At 40.5% G+C, this 16162-nt stretch overlaps 1 protein-coding gene across 4 annotated transcripts in view; it reads left to right on the top strand.

Annotated features, from left to right (window-relative positions):
- FERMT1 (FERM domain containing kindlin 1) overlaps window positions 1–16162 on the top strand; it is a 48186-nt gene that overhangs the window by 17922 nt on the left and 14102 nt on the right. For all 4 annotated transcript variants that reach the window (NM_017671.5, XM_024451935.2, XM_047440259.1 and 1 more), the window contains 4 exons: window positions 7478–7585; window positions 8076–8207; window positions 10121–10170; window positions 16020–16144. In NM_017671.5, coding sequence (NP_060141.3) covers window positions 7478–7585; window positions 8076–8207; window positions 10121–10170; window positions 16020–16144 — 415 coding nt within the window. The remainder of the gene's footprint in view (window positions 1–7477; window positions 7586–8075; window positions 8208–10120; window positions 10171–16019; window positions 16145–16162) is intronic.

Below are 16162 nucleotides of genomic sequence, written 5' to 3'. Positions count from 1 at the left end.
CATCTGGTACTTTCTTTGCCCCTCACCCCACACGCTGTGAGTCAGGCTTTCCCAGTTCAGGCACCTGATGGATGATAGGATCACTCAGCCCAAGGACTCATAGGGTCCTTGGGGACCCTTCCAGCAGTTTCTTTGCCAAGAGACTCCCCCGATTCAATCCGCTGCTTCAGAACTAAGCTTGAGCTAAAAAGAATGCAGCTGAGTCATCTGCCCCCTGAAAAACCATTAGGAACATGTAAGTGACTTCACAGTCAAATAAGCCAGATAATGGCAGATCATTGGTATAAATATAGAGGAGCAGGGTTAAATATGTATTTGTCTAAAAAGTGGAAGAAATCAAACGAATCGTACTCCAGAAGGGGACAAGGACACTGAAGCTGAGGGTCACAAGGGCTGTTGTCTCTGGCTCTTTGGCCTCCAGCCTCTGCCCGCTTAATTGGTGAGGAGCTCCCTCTTCATAGCCTAAAAAGTGAAACCGATTTGAATCTAACAGCCACACAGAAACTGTCAACCCAAAGGTGACAGGAAGACTCAGGATAATGGGACATGGCATTGGAGGACACTGTGATCCTCAACCACTTTAGTACTTATGGCAGTATTCCCTTCCCCCTCTCTCAAAATTATGAGTGCTATAGATAAAATCAAGTTTAAGACTCCTACTCTGTGCTGCATAAATAGAGGGATATAGAAATTTTAGATGTAATTTGTGTTCTCGTGGCAGCTACAATCAAATCTAAGAAGAAGAAAGAACACCCATGAAGCCACTGCAAATTTACAAGGCACCCTACAAGTAGAAACTAAAATCTACAGTGAGGACTAGAGAGCTTCTCTGGCTTTCAGAGAGATTCATACTGGCCACAGGTCCTTAGTAACAGGTGCTGATTAAAATCTCAGATACGTAAAATGCTAGAATTCAACATTTCAAAAATAATAGACTCAGCCGGGCGCAGGGGCTCATGCCTGTAATCACAGTACTTTGGGAGGCTGAGGCGGGTGGATCGCCTGAGGTTAGAAGTTCGAGACTAGCCTGGCCAACATGGTGAAACCCCATCTCTACTAAAAATACAAAAATTAGCCAGGCATGATGGCATGTGCCTGCAATCCCAGCTACTTGGGAGAACGAGGCAGGAGAATCACTTGAACCCGGGAAGCAGAGGTTGCAGTGAGCCGAGATCATGCTGTTGCACTACAGCCTGGGCAATGAGAGCAAAACTCTGTCTCAAAAAATAAATAAAATAATAATAATAATAATAGACTCAAAAAATGAAGAATCCAGAAAAGATTGGTACATTTTAATAAAAAATGAAAATTGTACATCTGGCCAAAAAAAAAAAAAAAAAACTATAACAAAGTAAAAGTCTTTACAACACATACTACAAACAAAAGATGAATTTCTCTAATATGTAAAGAGCTCCTAAAAATCAGTAATAAGAAGACCAACAACCCAGAAGACTAATGAGCAAAGGATGTAAATATATAGTTCATAGAAAATGAACTACAATGCTTTACAGTGGCAAAGATCAAAAAGTTACATACTATCTTGGCAAGAGTGTCAGGAAATGGGCTCTGTCATAGACTGCTTGCAGGTCAAAGTATAAATTAGTCTATAGAGGGCAATTTGGCAGTATCAGAATTACAGTTCTACATAGCTTTGATTCAGCAAATCCACTCCTAGGTGTTTATAGCACAGTTATACTCACACATGCAAACTGACATGTAGGTATACAGGGGCGGTTATTATATTGTTTTAGGAAAAGACTGGAAACCACCTAAATGTCCATAGCTACAGAATTGGTTAAATACATTATGATACATTCATACCATATTGTTTTTAAAAAGAATGAATCAGCTCTTTTTTGATATGAAACAGACTCCAGGTGCATTATTAAAAGATGCAAAACAGCCCATAGAGAAACTACCATTTCCAGGGAACAAGGTAGAGAGGGGGACTAACTTTTTATTGAACACTCTTTTGTCCCTTTCAAATTCATTCATAATGAATTCATTTATCACATACCTTTTGCCCCTTTTTAAATGTGTTCAAAATTTGTGAATTAAAAAAACACACATTTTAGAACTCTGATAGTTCATAGTATTTTAGTGTTCAGTACAGGAAAAGCACATCTGTTCTAAAAAGAGGCTTGGAAGATACTGAAAGCTGCTCCTGGGCCAATAGAGAATCTTAAATAATTAGATCTAAATAGTAACCCCTTCTTAAGAAAGAGCAAGAAAACTATGCTAAGTAGGTTTTGTTATTTATTTTTATTGTTGGTTGTTGGAATGATGGACGAGGGTGGAGGGTTTACTGAACTGACTAGACAGGGAGAAACAGGGATTCAAGGAGTGAAGGAGTGGAGAGGTGGCAGAACTCATGTGGTTTCCAGCTTGAGGTTTCTATTTTCTTTTCTTTTTTTTTTTTTTTTTTTTTTCTTGAGACACAGTTTCACTCTGTCACCTAGGCTGGGGTACAGTGGCACGATCTTGGCTCAATGCAACCTCTGCCTCCCAGGTTCAAGCGATTCTCCTGCCTCAGCCTCCCGAGTAGCTGGGACTACAGGCATGCACCACCACGCCCAGCTAATTTTTGTATTTTTAGTAGAGATGGGGTTTCACCATGTTGGCCAGGCTGGTCCCAAACTCCTGACCTCAAGAGATCCTCCTGCCTCAGCCTCCCAAAGTGCTGGGATTACAGGCTTGAGCCACCGTGCCCATCTCTATTTTCAATTAAGCAAAGAAAAGGGCCAAGGAGAGGGTATGAGTAGCCAACCCCACCAAGGAAAAAATTTGTTTCTAAGTCACTGGAGAACCCACTGAAAGAGTTCTCGGGGTGGGGGTATTGGGGGGAAGTCCTATAGGATGCCTGTCAATGACCTGTGAAAGATCTGGAACATTGTGATGCAGCATTGTCTCTGGAGAAATGGGAACAGGCCTCCAGAGAGGGAACTCCCAGCTACTAGGGAGGCTGAGGCAGGAGTATTGCTGGAGCCCAGGAGTTCGAGGCTGCAGTGAGCTATGATTGCACCACTGCACTACACCCTGCATGACAGGGTGAGACCGTGCCTCTAAAAAACAGTAGGCGGATGGTTAAGATGGTAAATATTATGTTACATATATTTTACCACAATTAAATTAATTTTTTAAAACTCAAACATAGGGCGGGCACAGTGGCTCACGCCTGTAATCCCAGCACTTTGGGAGGCTGAGGCAGGTGGATTGTCTGAGGTCAGGAGTTTGAGACCAGCCTTGGCAGCATGGTGAAATCCTGTCTCTACTAAAAATACAAAAAAAATTAGCGGAGCATGGAGGCGGGCTCGTGTAATCCCAGCTACTCGGGAAGCTGAGGCAGGAGAATCACTTGAACCTGGGAGGCAGAGGTTGCAGTGAGCTGAGATCGCGCCATTGCACTCCAGCCTGGGCAACAGAGCAAGAGTCCATCTCAAAAATAAATAAACAAACAAACATAATAAGAAAGAAATTATTTAGAGTAAAAATGGAAAACAGTTCTGTATCATGACCATTCTCCTAAGAGGCAGCCACAGTTAGCTTCATGACCAACCATCCTTGCAGACTTGTTTAGACATGTTTACAAACATATTTTTGAATAGATTTTCAAGACTTTGTGTTCCCTAGATAAGTAGGATCATTTGTTTTCTCTGTAGCTTGCTTCTTTTTACTTCAAAACATATCATGGCTATCTTTCATGTCAGTATAAGTAAGTCAGACTCACTTTTTTTAACCACTGAAAAAAAATCAAAGGAAAGGCTAAATAAACTGTAGTTTATCAGGACCTAAGTGTGCTGAACATTCTTGTAAAAGTATCTCGCAAGTGCTTGCATTTCTTTGGAACAGTAACACTGGATGTGCTTATCAAAGGGCAAAACGATACTAAAAGCTTAAAGCTTTATGTCACCAAATTACCTTTCTACTAACGGCATCTGTGAAAGGGCTGATATCCCCACATCCTCACCAACATCAAACATTATCAGTATTTGTAATGTAGGTAGATGTGATAGGAAAATGGAAATTAGGTCATCTTGTTTTCGTTTGAATTCTCTAGTAATTAGTGAGATTGAGCATCTTTTCCAATGTTTTTATGGCCATTTTGCTTTCTTCTGTGAACTACCTGTTTATATATTTGCCACAAACTCTATTAAATTATTTATATGTTTCATATGATTTATAGGAGTACTGTGTATATGATGGACATCATTTTTTATATTTATTACAAACTTTTTTAATTATTCAAATATTTCAAATATTTTTTCAATCTGTATCCTATATTTTATAAATTTGTAACCTTCTTTAGGATATTTTTTACCATTAAAAATGTTTAATTTTAGGTTGTCAAGCCAGCCTTATGCATCACAACTTTTAGGCCTCTTGTCTTGCTTAGAATAGACTTCCCCATTTAAAGATTACAGAAAGTATTCCCTCATGTGTCCATCTAATAATAGTCATGGTTTTTCTGTTTAGCTGTTTTATAATAGCTTTTTGAGATATAATTTACATGCCATACATTTACCTGTTTAATATGTACAATTCAGTGGTTTTTAGTATATTCAGAGTTGTGCAACCATTAACCACCATCTAATTTCAGAACATTTTCATCACCGCAGTAAGAAACTCCATACCCATTAGCGGTCACTCCCCAGTTCCCTCCTACCCTCCCAGCCCTGAGTAATCATCAGTCTGTTTTCTGTCTCTGTGGATTTGCCTATTCTGGAAACTTCCTATAAGTGGAATTACACAAAATGTGGTACTTTATGAATAATTTTTTTCACTTAGCATAGTATTTTCAGAATTCATTCATTCATTCCTATTGTAGCATGTATCATATTTTATGTCTTTTTAATGCTAACTAATATTTCCTTGTTTATGTATACTACATTCATTCATCAATCAATGAACATTTGGATTGTTTTCACTGTTTGACTATTATGAATAATACTGCCATGAATATTCATGTATACATTTGGGATTTTTTCTTTGACTTTTTTATTGTAAAATATACATAATGTTTATCATTTTAACCATTTTTAGATGTACAATTCAGTAGCATTAAGGATAGTCACAGTGTTGTGCAACTATTACCACTATCCATTTTCTCTCTCTTTTTTTTTTTTCTGAGATAGTCTCTCTCTGTCACCCAGGCTGTGATCATAGCTCCCTGTAGCCTCAAACTCCTGGGCTCAAGCAATCCTCCCACCTCAGCCTCCTGAGTAGCTGGAACAAGTGCATGCCACCATGCCTGGATAATTTTTTTTTTTTTTTTTTTTTTAGAAACAGTGACTCATCATGTTGCCTAGGGTGGTCTTGAATTCCTGGCCTCAGGCAATCCTCCTGCCTCAACCTCCCAAGTCGCTGGGACTAGTGACAAGAGCCACTTTTTTAAAAAAATAGAGACAAGAGTCTTGCTACATTGCCCAGGTTGGGCCACTGTCCATTTTCAAAACTTTCTTACCATCCCAAAAAGAAAGTCTGTACCTATTAAACAATAATTCTCCATTGCCTTCTCTCTTTTGCCCCTGGTAATCTCTATTCTACTTTCTGTCTTTATGAATTTGCCTATTCTAGATAGTTTATATAAGTGAAGTCATCCAGTATTTGTTTTTTTGTATTTGGCTTATTTCACTTAGCATAGCATCTTCAAGCTTCATTCATATTGTATCAAGTATCAGAATTTAATTCCTTTTTTTTTTTTTTTCGAGACAGTCTCACTCTTGTTGCCCAGGCTAGAGTGCAGTGCTGCAATCTTGGCTCACTGAAACCTCTGCCTCCCAGGTTCAAGTGATTCTCCCACCTCACCCTCCCCCAAGTAGCTGGGATTACATGCACCTGCCACCATGCCTGGCTAATTTTTGTATTTTTAGTAGAGACGGGGTTTCACCATGTTGGCCAGGCGTGTCTCAAACTCCTGACCTCAAGTGATCTGCCCACCTCTGCCTCCCAAAGTGCTGGGATTACAGGTGTGAGCCACTGTGCCCAGCCAGAATTTCATTCCTTTTTAAGGCTGAATAGCGTTCTATTGTATGTGGACAGCACATTTTATTTATCCATTCTGCTGTTTCTACCTTTTGGCTATTATGAATATTGCTGCTGTAAACATTGTTGTACAAGTATGTGTTTGGATGCCACTTTCAGTTTGTTTGGGTGTACAGCTAGGAGTAGGATTGATGGATTATATTCTATGTTTAACTTTTTAAAGAACTGCCAAACTTTTCTACAGAGGCTGCATCATTTTACACCTAGCAGTGCACAAGGGCTCCAATTTCTCCACAGCCTCACCAACACTGGTTATTACCTGTCTTTTAGATAAGAGCCATTCTAGTAGGTGTGAAGTAGTATCTTATTGTGGTTTTATATGTTTAAATTATTTAATCCATCTGTAATTTATATTTTTGGATAGTGTAAAGTTATTTTTTGTTTCAATTTGTGTTCCAAGTGGCTAGGCATTTTCAACACTGTTTATAGTGTTGAATTCTTCCTTCCCCTGCTGGTGTAAAATGTCATTTTTATATTTTAATATAAAATTAATATTTTATATTAAATTTATATACATATATAAGTCTGTTTCTAGATAAGGCTTTATTGATACTTTATCAATCATTACACCAGTACCATACCATTTTAATTACTGCAACTTTATAATAGGTTTTAATATCTGGGAGGAGAAGTGCTTTACTCAACATTGTTCTTTTTCAATTTCTTGGCAATATTTGAACATTATGTCTTCCACCAGCCTCAACTTGAGAATCAGCTTGTATAAAGTTTCATTTAAAAAATCCTATCGGATTCTGCTTGGGATTGCACTGGGCTTGCAGATCAGCATGGGGATCCCTTCTATTACACTGTTTACTTATTACACTGTTTATCATATAAACCATTTTTACTATCTATTACTACCAATATGTAGTAATAAAAGAGAGAGAAAATAATGGAATCAAATTTGGGTTGTGAAGAAGCAGCAGCAGCCCTGGAAGTAAAATGGGCCAGAGGGCCAGGCGCAGTGGCTCACGCCTGTAATTCCAGCACTTTGTGGGGCTGAGATGGGTAGGTCGTTTGAGCACAGGAGTTTGAGACCAGCCTGGGCAACATGGCGAAACCATCTCTACAAAAAAACACAAACATTAGCCAGGTGTGGTGGCACATGCCTGTAGTCCCAGCTACTTGGGAGGCTGGGGCACAAGAATTGCATGAACCCAGGAGGCGGACGTTGCAGTGAGCCAAGATTGCACTACTGTACTCCAGCCTAGGCGACAGAGTGAGACCCTGTCTCAAAAAAATAAAAAATTAAAAAAAAAAAAACTTTAAAAAAAAAGTGCTGAGTATATGGCACAATAGAAGTATTCCTTTCACTTACCTGAGCTGAAGTTTGCTGCATCTGATTAACAGAGAATGGCCTCAGTTGTTTCAGAATCTTTGTATTGTGGGATATAAATATACCTCATTACACACACACCTCTGTTTTTGTCTCTAGTATGATGCTGTCCGAATAAACCAACTCTATGAGCAAGCCAGGTGGGCCATTCTCTTAGAAGAAATTGATTGCACAGAGGAAGAAATGTTGATCTTTGCAGCTCTACAGGTATGGGAACTTCAGTACCTTTTCTCTGGAAGGAGACAAACCAAGTTTGTTCTGCTTGAAGTTTCATATGCTTCATACTGGTTTTTTTTTGTTCTTTGAAGAAATATCTGAAAATAAGGAGAGCAATTGTTTTCTGTATTTTTTATTTTGCTTTCTTCTTCAGACCAGAACAAATTTTTAATTTAAAATGCTCCTCATAATCCACACACGCTCACATCCTCTGTAAGACACTAGTCTTGCAATTATTATCTCTTCCCTACTGTGAGCACAATCAGTGATGAGAAAGAGCCAGTTGTAACATGACTAACCATGAACCTCAGAACGATTCAGGTTAAAATGTCATTTTCCCCACACGGGAAGGAGACCTCTGTTTAGGAGATGTTCAGTATTCCAAGGGAATAGTCCTCAAAGAAAAAAATGGCTAATGGATTCATTTATATTTATAACATTTCTGTTTATAACATTTCTAAAACGTCTGTTTTCATTTTAGTACCACATTAGCAAACTGTCGTTGTCTGCTGAAACACAGGATTTTGCAGGCGAGTCCGAGGTTGATGAAATAGAAGCGGCGCTTTCTAATTTGGAAGTAACCCTAGAAGGTGGAAAAGCGGACAGCCTTTTGGTATGAACTTTTTCTGATCACCCAGAACTGTGGCTTTCTTCTGATTGACAAGTATAAATGAACTTTTCTTTATTAGAAGAGAATATTTCATCTGATTTTGAAAAAAAAAAAAAAAAAAAGATGCTCTTCACCTAACAAGCTTCAACCTAGTGAACTAACTTTTCATGGGTTAGCTCCACAAGGGACTATATTTTCATCTCTACTAATGACAATACTTTTGTGTTATATTTCTTCCTAGAGGTAAGTTGGCATGGTGTGAAGGAGCCACTGCTGAGGGCTCCACTTCACTAGCATGGAATGTGGACTTGGTCCCTAAACTTAAGTCTAGAAAATACCACCCTGTCTATTACATGGAGCAGCTGTGAGAATAGAATAAAGAAAATTGTTTCCTTTTTTCTTTTTTCTGAGACAATCAGTAGTGCAATCAAGGCTCACTGCAGCCTCAGCCTCCTGGGCTCAAGCAGTCCTCCCATCTCAGCCTCCGGAGTAGCTGGGACTACAGACACACACTACTGTGCCTGGCTAATTTTTGTATTTTTTGTAGAGACAAGGTTTGCCATATTCCCCAGGCTGGTCTCTAACTCCAGGGCTCAAGTGACTCTCCCACCTCAGCATCCCAAAGTGTTGAGATTACAGGCATGAGCCACTGTGACCGGCCAAGAAAATTCTTTACCGATAAAAACCTTATTTCTATTTACTTGGTCATCCATTTCAACCAGACAAGCTTGACCAAAGTTGTGGCCTTTTTCTGGAACATTGCAAAAAGTTTCTGAATGCTTTTGACTTCAGGAGACAAACGAAAACCCTCCAATAAAACAAAGAAAACTGTTTTGTCATCTCTTTCTCCTTATCCATGAAAGGTGAATGTCAGCTTTATAACTGAAATGCCCCTCCTGTTTAATTCACTCATGAGGTGCCACACTTTTGTTTAACTTCGGCCATGGGAATAATTATTAATCACATTGAATCAGAGAGGTGGGTCCACCATAATTAGATGTAAGCAGTAATCATGGATTAGAATTAGTTACTATATTCTTCTGCATTCAATGTATGTTCTCTTATCATTAAATGTCCTAAAATAAGAAACTGGTCTCATTCAGGAGCAAATACTTCGTGCAAACTAAACGCCAAGATTCTGTAGAGATGCAGGGCCCTGTGTCACGTTTATAGAAGACATAGGCCCCATGAACTTGGAGTTCTCTGTTGTCTACTTTCTCCGCTGAATAAATACAACAGGAAAGTAATTCTTTTTAGAATAAATAAAAAGTTATGTCCTCCCTCCCTTAATAGTTTTACGTGATGCTAACAATAGGCTTTTCAGTTTGAAAACAGGCACCAGCCTACATTACAGAATGAACTTTGAACAAGGTTCACTTTGAAAGTTTAATCAGTGACCTAGGTGTAGCAGGAGTTACCCACTCTTATATAAAAATTATAAAATCTTTTGTTTGCATATAAAAGTAGTCATTTCTAATTCAGATTTTTAACTTGAATGATAGTTATAGGGAGTACTTGATCCACTTTTTCATTTTTTTCATCTCGTTTTTCATTTTTGTAATCTACGACACAAACAGAAAAGTGAAAAATACACATATGTACAGCTTAACAAATTAGTATTCAATTGTCACCCAAGTCACCACTGAAATCAAGAAACAGAACTTTGCCAGCCACCTAGGGGACCTCAACAGGGCCCCCATTCTCCTCCCAATCCTCCTTACTCCCACACCCAGTTAACTATCAGAAATGTAGCGAGTGTAAACTGAAGAACTGAGTTTTTCATTTTATTTAATTTGAATTAATTCAAATTTAAATAGGCACATATAGCAAGGGACTGCCATATTAGACAGTGCAGGTTGAGTATCAGCATCACTTATGAAGTTCCTGCTTTTGAAACTTTATTTGTTTTTTCTTAGGAGGACATTACTGATATCCCTAAACTTGCAGATAATCTCAAATTATTTAGGTAAGTAAACTTTTATGGGGAAAAGGAGTTACTCATAACAAAGTCTTGAAGATAAAGAGTGCAGGAGTTTAAATTATATATCCCTGAGGCAGGTTCATGGTTCAAAGGTAAAATGTGCGCTTTGCCATCAGACAAACAATGGGTTGAGTCGTAGCTCTACCACACACACCAGCTAGGTGACCTTGAGCAATATATTATGTCTCTGAGCCTCCATTTTCCAATCTATAAAATGGGAATATACCTCCCCTTGGGCTTGTTGGGAGGATTCAATGAAATAATGCATATGAAGCACTGAGCGTGGTACCTGGTTCATAGTACATGCTCAGTGAATGGCAGCGTGAACCCTCAGTGAATGGCTGGGTTCACATCAGCAATAATAAACACATCCGCCATACTAGAGCTTCTAGTAGGTTCCATCTGGGAGGCTCAGTACGCTGATACCATTTGAAGGCTTATAATTTAAAAGCCATTTCTCTCTAGAACTTTGATCCTGGGCTTACAGAGAGTAGTCACCTTAGTTTATCTACCTGTTTAAGTACTTCTGATAAACTCCTCCATCACCTCAGGTTGACCTGAAACTGCTAAAAAGGCAGAGAAGGAGTTTTATTTTTCCATGGAAATAATGAACTGCCACCTCTGCAATGGTGCCAGCGTATGTTAGGTTGAAAGAAACAAGGCTCTTTGAAGTCCTGTCAGTTCCTTATTTCACTTTATGGTTTGTTGACTTTTCTTAACCAACGGGCACTTCACTGGGGCAGTTGGCTTTAAAGGAAACACAAGTTGCTTTTGATAACACATGATGCAAAGAAAGAATTAGAAAGAATGAGCAATGAAGCCGGTATAAATGACAAACAAGTGTCCAAAGGTAACAATATTTGTCACTGGGTTTCTACAGGTATGGTTTTGGGGATTTCTTACTGTGATTGTAGGATGTGGTCGCAAACAATAGGGTCATTCTTTTTTCTTCTTCTTCTTCTTTTTTTGAGACAGAGTCTCACTCTATTACCCAGGCTAGAGTGCAATGGTGTGATCTCAGCTCACTGCAACCTCCACCTCCTGGGTTGAAGCAATTCTCCCACCTTAGCCTCCCGAGTAGCTGGGATTACAGGTGCCCATCATCACGCCTGGCTACATTTTGTATTTTTGTAGAGACAGGATTTCACCATGTTGGCCAGGCTGGTTTTGAACTCCTGACCTCAGGTGATCCGCCTGCCTTGGCCTCCCAAAGTGCTGGGATTACAGGCGTGAGCCACCACGCCCGGTCAGGGTCATTCATTTAACTTCCCTGGCATAAATGGTTGTAACCACATTTCACTCATATTGTTATAATCAGAGCTACAGGAAAAAAGTAACAATTTGAATCCACAAGTACATCTTAATAAAGTATTCATAATTGTTCCACAAAAAAATGAGTTGCCACATTCTCTGTAGAGGGCAAATCAAGCCCCTCATGAACCAAATGGTGACTGTAGCCTTCCTATAGATGTTTCTGATGAAGAAAGTGATGCTGGAGTTGAATCCATATCACTTATGCTACCCTGAACTGTCACAGGCTTTCGGTGTGACTTATACTCTCAAAATTGCCCTCATATTTGGCCAGTGGATACTATCTAAGGTCTCAAGATGTTGCATTGAATATATAATATAGTTCATGGAAAGAAGAAACAAATGAAGGAAGGAGAGAGAGCTCGTAGGAGGGAAGAGGGGAGGGAGATTCGAGAGTGGAACTCTATTCCTGGTAAGGTGGGACCTCTAATAGGCCCTTCATTTCCCTAGACCTTCTTTCCTCATCAGTACTAAGAGCATTGAACTAATCCTTTGATTTTTAAGTTCTTTCTATTACAGTGAAGCTCTTTTTTTATTTAAAAAAATCTATTAAATTTATCATATAAATAGTGGACTTCAGTTTCTAGCAACAGGGTATCAGCTCTAATGCAAACTCTTATCTTGCTATGAATACATATGCATGCTAGATAAAATAAAAGAATTATAAATACAGAATTAATCATGAAGTGAAACAGAAATGCCAACTTACAGGAAATGAGGCAGGAATCTAGTTCTACAAACGCAGCATCAGCCACACAGAGGAATTTAGGGAATAGAGACAGGTTGTCATGGTTTGAGGCTAGGATTTTAATTCCCATGTAGGGATAGAAGATGAACCTTTCAGTCCTGTGTGAAGCAGGAAGTGAGAACTGAAGCGCCTGCCTAAAGGTGGAAATGAGCAAAGGCTGCCCTTCTGTTGAATGAAAAATAGAAAAACTACCCATTAGCCAAAGAAAGCAGTAAGGAAGTTCATCCTTGCATGGGGTTCTGTGTGGAAATGAAAAGTATCTCTTGAGAAATCAGAGCCAAGGCTGTGTCACACACAGATGTAGATATAATTTTTTTTTTTTGAGACAAAGTCTCGTTCTGTCACCCAAGATGGAGTGCAGTGACGTGATCACAGCTCACTGCAGCCTCTACCTCACAGGCTCCAGCGGTCCTCCCACCTCAACCCTCTGAGTAGCTGGGACTACAGGCATGTGCCACCATGCCTGGTTAATTTTTGTATTTTTTGTAGAGACAGAGTTTCACCATGTTGCCCAAGCTGGTCTCAAACTCCTGGACTCAAGATCTTCCCTTTTTGGCCTCCCAAAGTCCTGGGATTCCAGGCATGAGCCACCATGCCCAGCCTAGATACAAATTTAAATGTCTTATGTGTTTATGTAATAAGGGAATCCTGAAAACATAAAATAGAAACTGATCCGGGATGACAAAACCTATGAAGCCCTAACATATGTAGTTGCAAAAATACCTAGAGGGGAATATCCACAACCAACTACAAAAATTAGCCAGGTGGTAGTGGCACGCGCCTGTAATCCCAGCTACTGGGGAGGCTGAGGCAGGAGAATCGCTTGAGCCTGGGAAGCAGAGGTTGCAATGAGCCGAGATTGCACCACTGCACTCCACCCAGTCTGGGCAACAGAGTGAAACCCTGTCTCAAAAAAAAAAAAAAAAATTCTAACGAGAGCCTGGAGAGCCTGTCTCGCTCGTTCTTATGCACGTCATTCACCACCCAGCATCGCCTCCGCTGCCCCTTCCCCTACCCTGCCCCAGGCTTTGCTGCATAGAGCAGCAGCAATGATTAGCTTTGTTAATGTGTCAGAAGCATCCTGAAAGATGACAAAACTTCCAGGCAGGAGATAGGAGGAGGAACTTGAGATCTCTTGATACTCTTAAGGTCCAGGTAGAACAGAGAAGTAGGGCCTCATTCTTAATCCTAAAGAGAAATATTTAGAGGCTGAAGATTAAACCAAGACCTTATTACCTGTATCTTTTGGTTAAAGGTGCTGTCTTTATTATTCTGAAAATACTATTCATTTTGGAGAATCTGAGTATTAAACAACAATATGTTCCTTAGAACTGCCTGGGCATGGAGGCTCATGCCTGTAATCCCAGCACTTTGGGAGGCCAAGGTGGGCGGATCACTTGAGCTCTCAGGAGTTCAAGACCAGTCTAGCCAACATGATGAAACCCCAGCTCTACTAAAAATACAAAAATTAGCCGGCCGTGGTGGCACGTGCCTGTAATCCCAGCTACCCGGGAGGCTGGGGCATGAGGACCGCTTGAACCCAAGAGACAGAGGCTGCAGTGAGACAAGATTGCGCCACTGCACTCCAGCCTGGGTGACAGAGCAAGACTTCATCTCAAAAAACAAAACAAAAAAAAGAACTGTCTTAACTACAGCCCTCAACATGATAAATACCAATTTTTTGGTTTTTGTTTGTTTGTTTGAGACGAAGTCTTGCTCTGTCACCCAAGCTGGAGTGCGGTGGCGTGATCTCGGCTCACTGCAGCCTCCGCCTCCTGAATTCAAGCAATCCTTGTGCCTCAGCCTCCGGGTAGCTGGGACTACAGGTGCACGCCACCACGGCCAGCTAATTTTTGTATTTTTAGTAGAGCCAGGGTTTCACCATGTTGGCCAGACTGGTCTCAAACTCCTGAGCTCAAGTGATCAGCCTGCCTCGGCCTCCCAAAGTGCTGGGATTACAGACACGAGCCACCGCACCCAGCAAATAAATACTATTTTAATACAGTGTTTTTTCTTAATCCTGGAAATGTTAAGTTCATATAATGTTTTTCAAATTTATTTTATAAATTATATGTAATATTCTTCTGTAATACACTGAGGGGGTTTTGCTGGGTTTTTAAATTTTATTTATTTATTTTTTAGAAACAAGTCCTTACTCTGTCACCCAGGGTGATCATAGCTCACTGCAGCCTCAACCTCCCAGGCTTAACCAATCCTCCCACATAGCTGGGACTATAGACACACCACCACGCCTGGCTAATTTTTCTTTTTTTGTAGAGATGTGATCTTCCTGTGTTGCCCAGGCTGGTCCTAAACTCCTGGCCTCAGGCAATTCTCTCACTTCAGCTCCCCAAAGTGCTGAGATGATGGCACTGGCACCCAGCATATACTTTTTTTTTTTAATGTGCAACTTCTTTCCTATCTTTGTGTTAAGGATAACATATGTTTAGCTAAGGAAAGACTAGTACTGACATGTTTAAAAAAATTGTCCCAGCTGGGCGTGGTGGCTCATGCCTGTAATCCCAGCACTTTGGGAGGCCGAGGCGGGCAGATCACAAGGTCAGGAGATCGAGACCATCCTGGCCAACATAGTGAAACCCCATCTCTACTAAAAATACAAAAATTAGCCAGGCATGGTGGCACATGCCTGTAATCCCAGCTACTCAGGAGGCGGAGGCAGGAGAACCCCTTGAACCAGGGAGTTGGAGGTTGCAGTGAGCCGAGATCGTGCCACAGCACTCTAGCCTGGCAACAGAGCGAGACTCCGTCTCCAAAAAAAAAAATTGCCCCAAATTACATATGAATGGTTCCTCTCTTCTCCAAGAGGAACACCAAGGTTCCTTTCTTCTCCCATTCTTGATGCAGAAGTCCGCCCCTCTGGCATGAGATACCCTGATCTGCCCCCACGGCCAGGTTTCTTCCACAAACCGCATACTAATAATTTCTTTTCTCTGCCTATCTCCAACCCCTGTCCTCCCCCTAGCTCATTCTCACGTTTCCTATTTTGAATGACCCAACCTTTAGGCCTGCCACTGGCACCACCAACCTTGTCTAGTCCACTGTATAAAGTTTTCTGGCCCCAACAGATACCAATACCACAGCTGGATACCTTTCCCCAAAATAGTTTTTAATAACAGTAGAGTCTATATTGACTAGCTGTAGATATCGCTGATTTCCATGGTTCACTGAGAATTCTCCCATAGTTTCTCTTAAGGGTGAAGAGGAAACTACAGAAAATGCTGCTCATGTTTATATCTGACTTGTATGTATGGTAACCTGAAGCTTGGGCTGTCCATATCGACAGCTTTTTCAAATGCAAAAAGTATGCCGAGATTCCAAATGTCACCAGATTCATGTCGGTTCCTCACATACACCATCACAGTTAACACTTCAGTTGCATCAGGTGTTGTGATAAGCTCTTCATGTAGATGAACTCATTCTGTCCTCACAAAAGCCCTGGGTTCCCAGACTACGACGGTCCCCATCACACAGAGGCAGTGCACGCAGCCCAGGTAAGTGCAGGATCTTTCCCAGGACACACGTGTAGACAGTAGCAGAGCCAGGTGTGGCCCCAGGTGGAGGCTTAGTGTTAAAATCTACATCACATATCAGCATTTCATTTCCAGCGCTTGGAAATTAGCAATTTGAAATTATTTTTGAAAAAACAAAGTGTGTTTTCTTTGACACAAACATCTGATCTGATCTGCTTGAAATCTGCAGCGTGTTCCACATTTCTGGGTGGTGGTTTAAACATTCACTATCTTTGAATTTGCAGGCCCAAGAAGTTACTACCAAAAGCTTTCAAACAATATTGGTTTATCTTTAAAGACACATCCATAGCATACTTTAAAAATAAGGAACTTGAACAAGGAGAACCACTAGAAAAACTAAATCTTAGAGGTAAGAGTACCCTATATC

The sequence above is a fragment of the Homo sapiens genome, chromosome 20 (assembly GCF_000001405.40).
Source record: "Homo sapiens chromosome 20, GRCh38.p14 Primary Assembly".
NCBI classification, from domain to species: domain Eukaryota; kingdom Metazoa; phylum Chordata; class Mammalia; order Primates; family Hominidae; genus Homo; species Homo sapiens.
Note: the sequence above shows the minus strand (reverse complement) of the source record. Positions and strands in the feature narration are given on the sequence as shown.